Genomic DNA, 17858 nt, shown 5'->3' on the forward strand with positions numbered 1-17858 from the left:
ATACATTTTCCCCTAAGTAGAGGGGCTGTATTTAACACATGTTAATATTCAGTAATGATTAGTTTGATTCGTTTTAAATATTTTTTAGTTTCCATTATGGTTTCTCTTTTGACCCAATATTTAGAAAGTATGTTTTAAAAGCTCTGATCATATTAGGTTTGCTTTAGATGTTGAAATCAATTGCATTGTAATCAGACAATACAGCTTCCATGATACAGGAAATTTTCTATCTACTTAGAGTAACCATTTAAAAAAAATACAGAAAAAAAGATCCCATGCAAATTATAGGCACAGAATTAATTAAGGATTTCTTTTGATAGTCATTAAATAAGGTCATTAAATAAATACACAAGAAATTTGTATTAACAACTTTTAAAAGATGTATTTGCTTTGATCTAGCAATTTATGAAATAATTTTAAGGCAGGAGAGATTACCATTTTCATCAACATGATACAAATTATGAGCATTATTGATCTTTATATCTCTAGCACATAGGAGGCATCCAATGCATGCTGAATGAGTACATTATAGAATACAAATTTCTATTTGGCCCAAAAAAGTAGTAAATGTAAAAATTCAATGAAGCTTGATGACTAACCAAAAGTTGAAATTATGAGAAACTGTCCTATTAACGACATAGGAATATTGTATCTTCTTTCTAAAGTATAGATGGTGTGTAAATAATGACCCAATCATAAATGTACTAATAGGACTTCATAACACATTTTTACAACTCATCACAGCTATGAGGTGGGCATTTAAAAAAACAAACACAGCCTGGAATCACAAATGAAAGCAATCAATATATTTCAGAGGAGCTGAATTAATAAAGTGCTTTATTGGTTAAAAACAAATACACAAGAATGCCCTAAAGAAATTTCAGTATTACCCCTTCTGCCTCTTTTATGTGATCCTGGGTCATCTTCATCTTCAGTGACCATATCTTGATCTAATTCCTTTTGCTCTGTGTCTTTGCTCTCAATGCTAGTATCAAAATCTTCCCTTTCTTCCTCCCTTTAGGATAAAAACAAAGATGACATTTACTAATGAATATATAATTCCATTTATGAAATATTTATTGCTTGCTTATGAAGTACCAGGCATTATAGGCTTAGGAAGTAGTGAACAACATGACACAGTTTTGGTCTTGCAGAGAAAACAGATAATTACACAAATCATTTAAAAAATATGTAATAAGTACTAAAACAAGAGAAGTTCAAGGTACTATGAAAACATTTCAAGGAGAATGAAACTGACTCTTAGGGATCAAAAAGGCTGGCTTGAAGAAGTGATATTTTACAATGTGAGACCAGGGAGATGGGGAGGAGTGTGTGCTACAGAGGAATAACATACACAATGGCACAGAGCTCAAGAGAAATGGGAGGAGCTTATAATTTTGAGAAAAGTGTAAAGGAGAAAGCAGTAATCCAAGAGGTAGATGAGAGAAAAAGGCAGGGTGAGATTAGGCTGGGCCTTGTAAGGCCTTATCCAAAAAACAATAGGAAAAAACCAGAAGAATTTAGAAAAGGGAAATGATATTAGAAAGTGCTGTAGCCACTGTGTGAAAAATTACCTGGGAAAGAAAGTAGATGAGGGGAGATCAGTAAAGAAGCCAGTAATAATAGTAACAGATCAGTAGTGGTCTAGGTGGCTGGCTAGGAAGTGATGGTGGCTTAGAGTAGAAGGAGAGAAGATGATAAATAGTGGAGGAGAGAAATTCAGAAATAGTAAACAGGCAGAATGAACACAATATAGTTGTTTAATTCATTATATTATCCAAATTAAAACTAAAATTATATGAACCTTGAAATAAATTACACCATTATGTTCTAAATCCACAGTTGGGTTTTGCAAGTTCTAATGTAAGGACAGCCAAGGAAAATGTAAATGAGTGGGGCTGAATAAATATTTAAAAAATATGAAGATGTGAAATCCATAGTGTTACTTTTCTTTTTTAAAAAATTGAGCTTACATACCATAACAATCACCATTTTAAAGTGTACAATTTAGTGGTCTTTAGTGTATTCACAAGGTTATGCAATCATTACCACTGTCAATTCCAGAACACCTTCATCATACCAAAAGGAAACACCATATCCATTAGTAGTCATTTCCCATTTCCTCTTTCCTGCTGCCCCTGGCAACCAACATCTACTCTCTACTGATTTGCTTATTCTGGACATTTCATGTAAATGGAGTCATACAACATGTGATCTTTTGTCACTAGCTGCTTTTTTTTTTTTTTTGAGACAGAATCTCACTCTGCTGCCCAGGCTGGAGCACAATTTCGGCTCATTGCAACCTCCACCTCCAGGGCTCAAGCAATTCTCCTGCCTCTACAGGTATGTGCCACCATGCCTGGCTAATTTTTTGTATTTTTAGTAGAGATGGGGTTTCACCATGTTAGCCAGGTTGGTCTCAAACTCCTGACCTCAGGTGATCCGGCCGCCTCAGCCTCCCAGAGTGCTGGGATTACAGGCGTGAGCCACCGCAATTGGTCGTGAGTAGCTTCTTTAGCATATATTTTCAAAGTTCATCCACATGATAGCCTGTATTAGAACTCCATTCCTTTTTATTGTTGAACAATATTCTCCTGTATGGACATACCACGGAAGAGATATACCTTTGTTTATCCATTCATCAATTGATGGACATTTGGGTTGTTATCACTTCTGGCTATTAAGAATAATGCTGCTATGAACATTTGTGTATACATTTTTGGATGAAGGTATGCTTTTAATTCTCTTAGGTATATATCTAGGAGTGCAACTACTGGGTCATACAGTAACAAATGGTTTAATTGTCGGGTCATACAGTAACAAATGGTTTAATTGTTTGAAGAACTGCCAAACTGTTTTCCAAAGTAACTGCATCATTTACATTCCCACAAGCAATGTATGAGAGTCCTGATTTCTCAACTCCTCATCCAAACTTGTTATTGTTTGTCAATTTGATTATAGCCAGCCTACTGGGTGTGAAGTGGTATCTTACTGTGGTTTTGATGTACATTTCCCAGATGATTAATGACGTTGAGCATCTTCTCATGTACTTATTGCATATCTTCTTTGGAGAAATGTCTATTCAAATCCATTGCTCACTTTTTAATTGGGTTGTTTTTAAGATTTTTTTTCTTTTAATTATTTCTTCTTTATTTTTTGACATTTAAAAAATTAACTCCCTATTCTGAATCTTTCAATTTTTTATTGTTGAGTTGTAAGAATTCTTTCATATTCTGGATACAAGTCCCTTATCAGATATATGATTTGCAAATATTTTCTTCTACTGCGAGTTTGTGACCTAAGATCTTAAGGCTTATTAATGGGTATTTTTATACACAAGTATTAAAAAGTCAAAGTCAATATACTAATTTTGGAATATTGAGTTTTTTCAGAACTTTCCTTTGCAGATTTCATTAAAAAGGAAAAAAGATGATTTCTGTCAAATTCCTACTTGTTTTCATAGACAATCCTATCTCAAATATTCTAAAATGCAATAAAATACTTGGGTATCTCTAAATTACTTAAGGTGCTGTCATCCTCTCCCTATATCATCTACCAAAAAACATCCAATCTCAACCCTGTTCCTCTATACAGCACAGAATAACTCTGTGAAATACAGTGTACACCTGTGATATTGGTGGAGGGGACAGATAAATATATTGGTTAAAAATAGCCTATTGAGTGTTTTTCTGGGAAATTATCATGTACCTATAATAAAAAGACAACTTTTCTAAAAATGTGAAAGCATTTTTAGAGTTTAAGGTGTCTGGTTTTTATTCTTTATGTATGGTAAAGCAGATGAACAGTGTGATTCAAACCATACCCAATAGATATATCTGCCGTTGAATTTCTTTGCTCATCTTCTTTCAGTTTTTCTTGTTTCTCTTTCATTTTTTGTTCTTGCTCCTTAAGTTTTTCTTCCTTCCTTTTACGAATTCTAAAAGTTAAAATGAAATATGGTAGTCTATCTGATGCACATATACATTTCACTTTTAGCATCTTGTCTTTAATCAAATCATGGAAAGTACTTCAAACATTATTATAAAACTATAATGTAGTAATCATTCATAAGCTTTTTTTTTTTTTTTTTGAGACAGAGTTTCACTCTTCTGCCCAGGCTGATCCTGCTTCCCAGGATCAAGTGATTCTCGTGCCTCAACCTCCTGAGTAGCTGGGATTACAGGCATGCACCACCACGCCCGGTTACTTTTTGTATTTTTAGTAGAGATGGGATTTGGCCATGTTGGCCAGGCTAGTCTCGAACTCCTGACCTCAAGTAATCCACCCTCCCAAAGTGCTGGGATTGCAGGCGTGAGCCACCACACCTGGCCTCATTCACAAGCTCTTAGTAAAGCCATCAAACATCAGTATAATGAATGCCACATTATAGCACCATGTGAAATATGGTTTTAAATGCAAAGAAATAAACAGCTTTCATTAACACAACTATTACAATTATCTCTTACCTGGCAGCTGCTTCTTCCCTCTCTTTTCGATGTTGTTCTGCTTTTAATTCCCGGAACTCCTGCTTTGCCTGTCGTAATATATCAACATAATCTTCAATAAAATCCCTAGTTGAAACTAGGGTCAGTAGCTTTCCACAGAGAGCATGGAGTATCTTCATTTTTTCTCCTGTCAAAAATTGGTAAATACTTCTGTATTATAAATCGCAGCAAATGAACTGTGTTTGAACTTTTTAAATTTGTGGCTCAATGTGAAAATGCCTAATAAAGAATATGGAGTAGTCTCTCAAACATGTCAATGACATGTCTTCAGGAAAAAGCAATTATGGGCCAGGCGCAGTGGCTCACACCTGTAATCCCAGCACTTTGGGAGGCCGAGGCGGGCAGATCACCTGAGGTCAGGAGTTCGAGACCAGCCTGGCCAACATGGTGAAACCCCAACTCTACTAAAAATACAAAAATAGCTGGATGTGGTGGTATGTGCCTGTAGTCCCAGCTGCTTGGGAGGCTGAGGTTGGAGAATTGCTTGAACCCGGGAGGCGGAGGTTGCGTTGCGCCAAGATCGCACCACTGCACTCCAACCTGGGCAACTGAGTGAGACTCTGTCTCAAAAAAAAAAAAAAAAAAAAAAAAAAAAGGCAACTTTGAATCCAATTTGCAGCTATTGATATATGAGGCATTTCAAATGTCTATCTTGTATACTAGTTAAGTAAACATGAGAAATTTTGTAATTACAAATTGGTTTTCAAGTTTTTTTTTGTTTGTTTTTGTTTTTTTGAGACGGAGTCTCGCTCTGACGCCCAGGCTGGAGTGCAGTGGCGCGATCTCGGCTCACTGCAAGCTCCGCCTTCCGGGTTCACGCCATTCTCCTGCCTCAGCCTCCCGAGTAGCTGGGACTACAGGCGCCCGCCACCACGCCTAGCTAATTTTTTTGTATTTTCAGTAGAGACGGGGTTTCACTGTGTTAGCCAGGGTGGTCTCGATCTCCTGACCTTCTGATCTGCCCGCCTCAGCCTCCCAAAGTACTGGGATTACAGGCGTGAGCCACCGCGCCTGGCCAAAAAAAAATATGGAACGCTTCACGAATTTGCATGTCATGTTTTATTTTACTTATTTGAGACGGAGTCTTGCTGTGTCGCCCAGGCTGGAGTACAGTGGCACCATCTGGGCTCACAGCAACCTCTGCCTCCTGGGTTCAAGCGATTCTCCTGCCTCTGCCTCCGAGTAGCTGGGACTACAGGTGCACAGCACCACACCCAGCTAATTTTTGTATTTTTAGTAAAGATGGTGTTTCACCATGTTGGCCAGGCTGGTCTCGAACTCCTGACCTCAGGTGATCTGCCCACCTTGGCCTCCCAAGGTGCTGGGATTACAGGCATGAGCCACTGTTCCCAGCCCTCAAGTTTTAACTTTTTGGCTGAGTAACTGAAGTTCAAATCAATACTAAATTATAATCACATGAATTAAAAAAAGACAATGGTAAATTACTATTTCTAAAAGACTGCACAAAAAAACCACCATAAATTATAAAGACTGCAAATGTTAGGAAGTAAGGTATTCTACTTTACTGTATGTTCTCTAAAGTATACTAAATTAAACTCTTTACTTGTACATGCAATTTTTTAAAAAAAGGAAGTGAAAAATAGCTTCATCTTAACCTCATATACTGTTTCTCATACCTCAAACACTTATTCAAGTGAATGGCAGGATTTAGCAGCCATTTAGATTTAAACTTCTGATACACTAGTAAATACAAGAGAAAGCTAATTTTCTAGCTAATTCTCACCCTTTTAAACTCAGTAGATGTAGTAGACTAATCATACGTTTAAAAATATTAGAAAATCCAAATAAAAAAGACAATCATAAATAAAGTTAATATGAATAATAACAATAGTTTGCTTTCTCTTTTTCTCTTTTAATACTGATTTATTGTAAAATTTCTCATCAGCTCCTTAGTTTTCTGGGCATAAGAGGGAGGAAGTGGGCAGGTTATGCAAATTCCAACTTGCAAAGCTTACCTGGTGTCAAATCATACACTGAGGTGCTTGACAGTTTCTTCACTAGACTGGGATTGCTCAAACGAAGCTCCATACAAGCATCATCTGTAGCATCAAATCCTCCTCGTTTTTGATATCTATACTTTGCATTTGCTGATGTTACATCAGCACCTGAAGCTAAGATGTGCAGTCTGAGGATTTCTGAAAGAGTGCAGCTATCAAGATCCAAACTTTTCAAACTGCAGCCTATAGTTGTTAAAAATGAAATAGTCATTTAGAATATAAACAATAAATACTCAGCAATGTAAATGTGCCTTTATAAAATTAAAAATAAAAAGCCAAACAAAAAAAAAACAAAACCCACACATACCCTGGTGTAACTGTGGCCATGCAGCTGCCAAAGATGCAACTGCAGACAGTGCAGATTTTGTGGGGTCTGCATCTTCATCCAAAGCCTCTGTTAAATCTTTAAGGAAATAAATACTTTATTCTAGTGCAAATCAAAGCTTGAATATTTGGGAATAATGCCCGTTTTAAATGATGAAAGAAACAGCAAACGCCTTAACATTCGGAACCTCAAAAGAACAAACACTAGGTACAAGCAATATTCACATTCTGCTTCATCACCACCTACAGCTATAAATCCTAAACCAAGCACTACACACTGACATTTCTGTAAATTAACAGAAAAGACAATTTCCAAATTACCAATGAGACGCACATAAACATTCCCCCAAAAGATAAAATGCACTTTAGAATTAAAAACAAATCTCCTCACTCAATATAACCTTAGAAAAGTCTACCTTGAAAATTGGAATCTATTTAAAGATACTCCAATCTTTTATGTGTGTTTTTTTTTTTTTTTTTTTTGAGATGTAGTCTTGCTCTGTCACCCAGGCTGGAGTGCAGTGGCACGATCTCGGCTCACTGCAACCTCCACCTCCCGGGTTCAAGCAATTCTCCTGTCTCAGCCTCCCGAGTAGCTGGGACTACAGGCACCTGCCACCACGCCCGGCTAATTTTTGTATTTTTAGTAGAGACGGGTTTTCACCTTGTTGGTCAGGCTGGTCTCGAACTCCTGACCTCAGGTGATCCACCCACCTCAGCCTCCCAAAGTGCTGGGATTACAGGCGTGAACCATGGTGACCAGCCCTTTTATGGATATTTTAAGATTAAGTCATAACAAAGTATAGGTTGTAGCCATCACAAAATCATCACAGAAAATGAGCTAAAAAAAAGTTAAAGATGGCACTACTGTAATTTAACTATTGAAATATCTTCATTAAAATTTCACATTTTTATTTGAAAAATTTTCCAGGCCAAGTGCGGTGGCTCATGCCTGTAATCTCAGCACTTTGGGAGGCTGAGGTAGGCGGATCACGAGGTCAAGAGATTGAGAACATCTTGGCCAACATGGTGAAACCCCGTCTCTACTAAAAATACAAAAATTAGCTGGGTGTGGTGGCGCATGCCTGTAGTCCCAGCTACTCGGGAGGCTGAGGCAGGAGAATCACTTGAACCTGGGAGGCAGAGGGTGCAGTGAGCCAAGATTGTGCCACTGCACTCCAGCCTGGTGACAGAGCAAGACTCTGTCTCAAAAAAAAAAAAAAAAAGAAAAGAAAACTTCCCAATCCAAAAACCAGTGGGGGCCGGGCGCGGTGGCTCATGCCTGTAATCCCAGCACTTTGGGAGGCTGAGGCGGGCAGATCACTTGAGGTCAGAGTTTGAGACCAACCTGGCCAACATGGTGAAACCCCGTCTCTTCTAAAGTACAAAAATTAGCTGGGCGTGGTGGCACATGTCTGTAATCCCAGCTACTTGGGAGGCTGAGGCATGAGAATCACTTGAACCTGGGAGGCACAGGTTTCAGTGAGCCGAGATCACACCACTGCACTCCAGCCTGGGCGACAGAGTTAGACTCCGTCTCAAAAAAACAAAACAAAACAAAACAAAAACACAATAGGAAGATTTCCCTGAATTTTCTAAATAAACTGCTTTAGCTTTAAAACAGTGCTTAGCTTACAAATAGAACTAAACAGCAAATCTACTGGTACAAATGTATGTAAAGCATTATCATATCCAATTATTCCTAATTATAATACATAGATTGATCAAAATGTCAAGCTATGAAAAACCCTTCTGTTATATCATAGTACAGTGTACACAGATTCAGACTAAGAGTCAGATAATGTATATTCTAGTATTAGCTATGCTAGTGCCTAGTAATGTGCCATTGAGACAAGTCACTTAATCTGGGGTTCATTTTTGTTTTTTTTTTTTGAAGATGGAGTCTCACTCTGTCACCCAGGCTGGAGTGCAGTGGCGCAGTCTTGGCTCACTGCAACCTCCGCCTCCCAGGTTTAAGCAATTCTCTGCCTCAGCCTCCCAGGTAGCTGGGATTACAGGCACCCGCCACCACGCCTGGCTAATTTTTGTATTTTTAGTAGAGACAGGGTTTCACCATCTTGGCCAGGCTGACCTTGTGATCCACCCACCTCGGCCTCCCATATTGCTTGGATTACAAGCGTGAACCACCATGCTCAGCCTCATTTTTCTTTTTCTTTTTGAGACAGGGTTTGAATCTGTTGCCCAGGCTGGAGTGCAGTGCTGCAATCTCAGCTCACTACAACCTCTGCCTTCCGGGCTCAAGCCATCCTCCCACCTCGGCCTCCCCAGTAGCTGGGACTACAGGCGCATGCCACCATGCCCACCTAGTTTTTGTATTTTTTGTAGAGGCGGGGTTTTGCCACATTGCCCAGGCTGGTCTCACATTCCTGAGCTCAACTGATCCATCTGCCCTGGCTTCCCGAAGTGCCAGGATTACAGGTGTGAGCCACCATGCCCGGCCCATTTTCTTAAAGGAATGACTCTGGATCAGCAGCTTTCAAATTCTTCCAAAAAAAAAAATTTTTTTTCTTGAAAACTCAATATAAAAGAGATAAAAGATGCTCCTCCTAAAGTGAGATATGGAGATGAGAATTCTGCCTTTTCATCTTTCCAACTCTCCTGCAGTGGCACTGAAGAATTTCTGAACAACTTGTAGGGTGCCTTGGGTTAGAGTTTGAAAATCACTAGGCTAATCTTCTGTGGTTCTTTAGCCTTCTACTATATGACTCCCCTACCAAAGTTCAAAGCCTGACAAAATTAACCTTAGAGAACAGTCCCTTACTAAAGGAAAAAGGCAGCTCTGGGATCGTATCTGATTACAATCATCGACAATTTCATGGCATTTAAAGCATACATAGGGCCACACAGGAGAAGCTATCTATAAAATTTGCATATATGCCAAAAGTCATTCCTACCAGACCTAATCTAGCCCAAATGACAGAAATCATATTCTTCTGTTGCAGAAAAATACTAGACCTAAAATTTCATCAATGTTCATTTTACATATAAAGCCAAACAAATTTAATTAATGAGCACTCCAAAATTAACAACAGTCCTAGATACAAAGTTGTAAAAGGTGTTGGCTCTCATCCTGCAGCAATCACCACATTCAACCTATACCATCTATAGAAAGTTATAATTTCCTAAGACAAAGGCTATAAAAAGGCCTTTAGGAAATGAAAAACCAATGAAATGTATTTTTAATTGTGTTAAATAAAGTAATATGCTAAAATATATTCTTTAACTCTTTATCATATGTCATTCTTAAGAAACTGTAAATATCATTCTAGGATTTGCTTAGTGATAGTCACTTGGGTACATCACAACGAAGAGAATATAGTTGAATTATATCCAGTATTTTATGACTACCTGCAACAGATATATTTATTGTCATGATAATCTAGAATTAGGTGCATACAATTCCAACACTAGACAATGATCCAACAAATACACAAAACTGTTCTATATAAAGAGGATGCTCTTGTTCCCATACTTTGAAGGGCTTTTTAGTTCATGATATAAGACTAAAGAGAGGAACTGATGTATTAAATGTAAGATTTTTTAAATTGGTGGTCAAAATCTCTCAGGTTTGATATAAAAACAGGGAGACCAAGGGCCAAAGAAATTAGATCTTCTCAAAGACAAGTAATTTTACAGGCAATGCCAGAGAAACAAATATTCAAAATTTCAACTTCTTTACCGTATTATGAAACAACATAGCATAATTGTAATGAGTATCTAGATCAGATTGCTTGAACTTGTATCCCATCAATTCCTTATTAGCCATGTTTCTTCAAACTAAGCCTCAGTTTCTTTATATGTAAAATGCAGAAAATAATATCTACCTCAAAAGAGTAGTATGAGAATTTAATGAAACAATGCGTAGTCTCTTACATCACTTATTAGCTATGTGATCTTCAGTAACTATGTAAAATGTGGCCAATAATAAATAACAGGAAAGTGAGAAAAGAGTGAAAAATGCCAGACTTATTTTTTTTCCTCCCTAACATTTAAATAAATATTTTCTTTTTTTTTTTTTTCCCTTTGAAACAGGGTCTCACTCTGTCCCAGGATGGCATGCAGTGGCACGATCACAGATCACTGCAGCCTCAAACTCCCAGGGTCAAACAATCCTCCCACTTCAGCCTCCCAAGTAGAGCTGGGGCTATAGGCTGCACCACTACACCTGGCTAATTTTGATTTATTTATTTGTTTATTTATTTATTTGAGACACAGAGTCTCTCTCTATTGCCTAGGCTGGAGTGCAGTGTCGTGATCTCGGATCACTGCAACCTCTGCCTCCTGGGTTCAAGGGATTATGGTGCCTTAGCTTCCCAAGTAGCTGGGATTACAGGCATGCGCCACCATGCCTGGCTAATTTTTGTATTTTTAGTAGAGATGGGGTTTCACCATGTTGGTCAGGCTGGTCTTGAACTCCTGACCTTAAGTGATCTGCCCACCTCAGCCTCCCAAAATGTTGGGATTACAGGCATGAGCCACCACACCCAGCCTTGTTTTATTTTTTGTAGAGACAGGGGTCTCACTATGTCGCCCAGGCTAAATATTTTCAAACAGAGCATTAAAACTTTTATTTAGTGGCCAATACTTACTTAGAGAGATACATCTTATATTAATACATAGTTCTATATAGGGAATACTTATTTAAAAAACTCATAGATCAATAATGAAAGTGTAATGGCACCTGGGTGCGGTGTCTCAAGCTTGTAATCCCAGCACTTTGGGAGGCCGAGGCGGGCAGACCCTGAGGTCGGGAGTTCGAGACCAGCCTCACCAACATGGAGAAACCCTGTCTCTACTAAAAATACAATATTAGCTGGGCATGGTGGCGCATACCTGTAATCCCAGCTACTCAGGAGGCTGAGACAGGAGAATCGCTTGAACCCGGGAGGCGGAGGTTACAGTGAGTCAAGATTGTGCCATTGCACTCCAGCCTGGGCAACAAGAGCGAAACTCTGTCTCAAAAAAGAAAAGAAAAGAGAAGAGAAAAGAGAAGAGAAGAGAGTAGTAATGGCAATTCAAACACCAACCATTGCTTAATATATATTTTTCCTTTATACTGATTTTCCCATACTATTTCCTTTTTACCGTACTTTTGTTTTCCACCATGACTTCCAAAACTACAAAATTCAAATCTGGAATTAAATACAGCTTTATGTCTTGTATTGTTAGAATTTGATCAATAACCCTATAATGCTGTTGACCACTAATAAATATAATAGCTAAAAGAATTATCATTTAATTGACTAAATTATCTGAGGTGACAATAGGGGTCATATTGCTTAAAATGGTCTTAATAAGGGACCTATGGTGGTTAGCACTCAAGCTAGATATAAATATATTTTTGCTTGAACTCAGGCTGTAAAATCAAAAGGCAACAAACATCAATGCACACTCATCAATATCCTGTTGCTTCAGAGACCAGGCATGAAGGAAGATGATCCTGAATTATCTAAGGTCAACAAAACTATCTGACTGGAGGAATGTCCCATCTTTCTGTACCAATATTCTGATATCAAGATGTCTCCTAACAGTTCTGTTTTACTGTGAATTTTTATGCAACACACTCAAGTATTGTTTAATCAAGTTTCTGGTCCTAAATCTCATATATGGCAAAGCTCAAGGTATTATTCAGGAGGCCAAATCAATCTCTTATTAGAAATGCTTAACATTTCCTATGACTGAGGTAAATCCTAAACAAAATAGTGAACATACTGTTTTAAAAATATGAAAAGGTTTGCCTCAAGAATTATTCCTACATTAACACGTACCATACACTGACTCCAGATATTTAAGCGTGCAGAACTTAAAGGGCAAATTATCTAGTTCAAACTCAGAAGTAAAATTTTATTTAACTCTGATGTAAAAACTGTCAGATCTAAAATGAAATCAGCAGTAGTATTTTCATTTTAAAGTATTAATTACAATTAAAGTATTTCCTGGTCAGGCGCAGTGGTTCACGCCTGTAATCCCAGCACTTTGGGAGGCCAAGGCGGGTGGATCACCTGAGGTCAGAAGTTCGAGACCAGCCTGGCCAACACAGTGAAACCCCGTCTCTATTTTAAAAATACAAAAATTAGCTGGGCATGGTGGCGGGCGTCTGTATCCCAGCTACTCAGGAGGCTGAGGCAGGAGAATTGCTCGAACCTGGGAGGTGGAGGTTGTGGTGAGCCAAGATCACGCCAACGCACTCCAGCCTGGCAACAGAGCGAAACTCCATCTCAAAAAAAAAAAAGTATTTCCTTAGTTGAGGGCCAAAAAATACCCCAAAAAAACAAAGAAACAGTGCTAGAGTGCTAGTTAGCAGAATCTCTTGGAATTACAGATACTGGTCAATGAAATCTGTAATGCTCCTAAATCATAGGAAAAGTCTAAAGGAATAAAAGCAAGATAGACTGAGGGAAAATATCTTTAAGGTTGTCAGACACAGGTTATATCAAAACAAAATTTTTGTAACATAATCCATTTGTTGTTAGCATATGATTCAACATCAGGTAACCTGAACAACTATATTTTATAAGCATAAAAGCCAATTTAACTTAAAATTGGCCCTCAAAAATTAGTTTCGCTACAAAACTACTATGGTTCAATCAGCAATAATGTTGAACTCTGACCTTTGGTGTCAGCATCAGTTAGTTGCTCTTTGGCTACTTCCTCTTCTTCTTCAGCTATTGCCTGGAAGATTGCAGTCAGGAAGAAAAAAAGCAATTCACACAGTGGGCCTTCACTGTCATTTCCTACAAGAGCTTCCTCTAATACTTCTGTGAATAAAATGTTTAAAATGAATTTAAAGTTCTGTTCATGTACTGAAAAAACAACTCCACTGGAATAAACATGTAATCAACAATAGTATGTGCAACTATTTTCTTAAGCATCAATTTATGAAAGTATAACCAAGTATTATCCAAGCCAAAATAAGAATTTATAATGATTACAATAAAATACAATAAAATCGTAAGCCAAAGTCACCTCATTCAAGTAAGTCAAAATAGCCTCAATAGATCAACATATTTCATTTAAATTTAAATTTAAGGCACAAATTAAGGCACATTTTAAAAATTACAATTTTATTCTAATCTGAACAATGCAAATATTTGTTATTGTGCCACTGTTCCTGAGGGCTATGTATGTGCAAATAGGGCATAGAAGAGGTCATTATCCGCATTAGGTTTTAATCCTAATATTATGTCTAAGTCATAAATAAATGTTTTTTATCTAATTCATCTCACCTAAACCAGCACTGTTTAGACCTCCTTGATCTATAAGACACAATGATTCTTGCTTCATCCACCTCATAAGGAGAAATAAAAGAATTTGAAAGCCCTCCTAAAGAATATACTTTTATTAAAATAAGAGTGGCATTATAGGACAGACGCAGTGGCTCACGCCTGTAATCCCAGCACTTTGCGAGGCCAAGGTGGGTGGATCACGAGGTCAGGAGATTGAGACCATCCTGGCTAACATGGTGAAACCTCATCTCTACTAAAAATACAAAAAAATTGGGCCAGGTGTGGTGGCTCACGCCTGTAATCCCAGCACTTTGGGAGGCCGAGGCGGGCAGATCACAAGGTCAGGAGTTCAAGACTAGCCTGGCCAAAATGGTGAAACCCTGTCTCCACTAAAAATACAAAAATTAGCTGGGCTTGGTGATGGGTGCCTGTAATTGCAGCTACTTGGGAGGCTGAGGCAGTGAATTGCTTGAACCCCGGAGGTGGAGGTTGCAGTGAGCCAAGATCACGCCACTGCACTCCAGCCTGGGCGACAGAGCGAGACTCCGTCTCAAAAAGAAAAAAAAGAAAAAAAGAAAAAAAAAAGAAAAAAATTAGCTGGGCATGGTGGCGGGTGCCTGTAGTCCCAGCTACTTGGGAGGCTGAGGCAGGAGAATCGCTTGAACCCTGGAGGTGGAGCTTGCAGTGAGCCGAGATTGCGCCACTGCACTCTAGCCTAGGTGACAGAGCAAGACTGTCTCAAGAAAAAAAAAAATGAGTGGCATTATAATTCTCTATTTCAAAGTCTCTACATGGATTTTAAGAAAATTATTTTACCATGTGACAGCCAAAAATTCAAAATTTGATCCAAATCTTTCCTTATACTATACTCATTATAAATGTTTATACAAAGTAAAAGTATATAAGTACACAGGCCAAAGAGAATTACAAATAAAGGTAGGCAATAACCTGTCTGCAAACACCCATATACCACTCCCTGCTCAAGAAGTGGAGTCTATTCCACAATCCTGTTGAATCCCACGGTGGCCTCTCACTGCTCTGACCAATGGAATGTGGCAGAAGTAAGGCTGTGCCAATTCCAGGCCTAGGCTTTAAGAGGGCTAGCAGTTTCTGCTTCCTGCTTCTTAGAGCCCCCAGGTGCCACATAATAAGTATGAGATACTCTGATGAAATGAAAGGCCACATGAAGAGGACCGAGGCACCAGACCTGTGTGAGAAGAAGCCATTTTGAACATCTAGCCAGACCAGAGAGATCCCAACTCCAGTGCCCCCACAGAACTTTACAAGGTGGCTTGTTTTTTTAAAGCCACTAATTTTAGGATGAACTATAATGTAGCAATAGATAACTAAAGCACTTGCCTAGGGTTACTCCATCAGGAAACTCATCTTGAAGATCAAAAAGTTCCCCAAATGCATTAAGGAACTCCAAAACCATCAGAGCATCACCAAAGATTTCAGGAGGTAGTCTAGTTTTCACTGGTGTTGGTTCTGGAAGTTCCTGAAATATTGAACAATTTATATAACTATTTGAACCAAGAGCAGGAAAACTTAAAAGGCAGAGATGACATACTTTTTACCTAACTATTAAGAAGTATTATTTGTAAGCTACTGGTTCTCAACCCTTGCTGTTTATCACAATCACCTTTGAAACTTCTAAAATTATAGATGTCCTGAACTTGTTCCAACTTTACTAAATCACAGTTCCTGACAAGGGACCGGGAGAAAGGAACATTTTCTTCCTTATACTAAGAACATAACTTTAGGCTGAGTGTATTTCTGACTATATTTCCTAGTAAGAGTCTCTTAACCCACATTCTGAAGTCAAATCAGCTGTGAAATACTACCTTCAATGTAGTAGCTCCTTATGATTTGGAACATAATTAATCTACCATCTACTAATTTTGATTTACTGAAATTATTCTTTATAAGCCAAGTTGAATGAGTTTGATTTGGACACTTTGGCCATTTCTGGAAATAGGCAGAATCCTTACCTAGCAATCAAGCTAAATGCATGCCTGGCTACAGTGGTTTTTGGATTATTAAGGATCACACAAACTGACCTATTATTTCTACAGAATAAGAATCATTATCAAAGCTGATTATAAAACACTAACAATGCTACCTTGGAATTCTAAGTGTGAACATTTGCTTAACTAGCTATTTCCTCTCGGTTAAATATAAAGAGAAGAGGCTGCTATTAAATAAGAATGATTTCATCAGCAAAGCCACATAGGACATGTAAAACCTATGTGTGCTAAACATCACATAACATGTTTATACCTTAAGGTCATCACATTCCATATCTTCTCTAGGTTTACTCCACTGTTTTAAGTATTCCACATACTTTCGCTTTTCTTCACGTAACTTCTCTCTTTCCTAGAAATTTTTAAAAGTTAATAACAATTCATGTAAGAAATTTATATGGCAGCATCGGCATCTCCTGAGAACTTGTTAGAAATGCAAATACTTGGACCTTACCCCATACCTACTGAAGCAGTAACTCTGAGGTTAGGACTTAGCAACTGGTGTTCTAGCAAGCCCTTCTGGTGGTTTTTAATACACGCTAAAGTTTTAGAACCACTGATCAAAATAATACCTATCAAAATAATACTATAAAGACTGAAAATGGGCCGAGTGCAGTGGCTCACACATGTAATCCCAGCACTTTGGGAGTCAGAGTCAGGTGGATTACTTGACGTCAGAAGTTTGAGACCAGCCTGGCCAAAATGGCGAAACTCCATCTCTACTAAAAATACAAACACATATACATATACATACACACACACACACACACACACACACATATATGCATGCTGAGCGTGGTGGCATGCACCTGTTGTTCCAGCTACTCAGGAGGCTGAGGCAGAAGAAGCCTTGAACCCGGGAGGAGAGGGTTGGGGTGAACTGAGATCACACCACTGCACTCCCGCCTGGGCAGCTCTTGAATAAATATTAATTTAATCTGACTTGATCTATAGCTTTCCCTCTACTTCCTATCAATAAGATCCTAGCAAAATAAATTATTAGACTGCCTAAAATGAAACTTCCCCTTATGTTTGTAATAAATTTGTCATTTTCAAGATTCATTTGAATCTGATAACAGCCTAGAGATACAAAGAGGGAACAATAATTAAAAGCAACAATATTAGAATAGATGGACTTATTTCTTATAATTCAGGCTATTTCTCTTACTCGGTCTTTTGAAACCCTTACTTTTTGATTCTGGTGTTTGAAATTGCAAGATAAATATTAACTGCTAAATGTCTCTAATAAAACAGTGTAAATCAAATATTTTACTATTTTTTCCAGTAAGTATACTTAATATGTTATTATTCTCTTCTTTGAAATTTAGTAAGAACAGAGGTTAACAGATGTGCACTTATCAAATTTTCAACATAAAACGCCTAGATAGTTACGGAACTTGCTGTAACTTGAATAGTCTGCTTAAATAAATTATCCACCCCCAACCTCAGAAATAATTCTTATAGGATCAAATAAGGTTAACATTCTAATTCATTGTTGCTAACAGTGTAAATAAGCACATGCTTGGGAAATACTTAGTTATGTGTATGTATAGAAAGTTTTAAAAATATTCTTAATCTTTGATTTATTCTACTTCTACAAATTTATCCTGGGACATAGTCCAAAAAAAAAGACTTTATTCAGAAATTTGAACACAGCAGTATTATTTAAAGCACTTAGCTATGACTATTTAATGAGTTATGCAGTCATTAAAAATTCCACTTAAGATTATTTAATAACAT

The 17858-nt window shown here is 37.9% G+C and overlaps 1 protein-coding gene across 8 annotated transcripts in view, besides 1 other annotated feature; it reads right to left on the reverse strand.

Annotated features, from left to right (window-relative positions):
- Positions 1–17858, reverse strand: part of BAZ1A (bromodomain adjacent to zinc finger domain 1A) — a 122630-nt gene that overhangs the window by 26565 nt on the left and 78207 nt on the right. For 5 of the 8 annotated variants that reach the window (XR_007063978.1, NM_013448.3, XM_024449460.2 and 2 more), the window contains 8 exons: positions 16375–16470; positions 15454–15592; positions 13480–13626; positions 6831–6926; positions 6482–6706; positions 4467–4632; positions 3824–3937; positions 891–1015 (listed from right to left, as the gene is read on the reverse strand). Coding sequence is in view for 7 of the 8 variants with exons in the window: in NM_013448.3 (NP_038476.2) it covers positions 891–1015; positions 3824–3937; positions 4467–4632; positions 6482–6706; positions 6831–6926; positions 13480–13626; positions 15454–15592; positions 16375–16470 (1108 nt within the window). In the remaining variant the exon portion in view is untranslated. Of the gene's footprint in view, positions 1–890; positions 1016–3823; positions 3938–4466; positions 4633–6481; positions 6707–6830; positions 6927–13479; positions 13627–15042; positions 15406–15453; positions 15593–16374; positions 16471–17858 lie in introns of those variants that run through there. The other 3 variants (NM_182648.2, XM_047430887.1, XM_011536376.4) reach the window with 2 other exon arrangements.
- Positions 13435–13635: a silencer, noted in NCBI's record as "peak2136 fragment used in MPRA reporter construct". NCBI's record gives its function as "represses an SCP1 promoter by STARR-seq MPRAs in K562 erythroleukemia cells {active_cell/tissue: K562}" and the evidence as "EXISTENCE:reporter gene assay evidence [ECO:0000049][PMID:32103011]".

The sequence above is a fragment of the Homo sapiens genome, chromosome 14, assembly GCF_000001405.40.
Source record: "Homo sapiens chromosome 14, GRCh38.p14 Primary Assembly".
NCBI classification, from domain to species: Eukaryota; Metazoa; Chordata; class Mammalia; order Primates; family Hominidae; genus Homo; species Homo sapiens.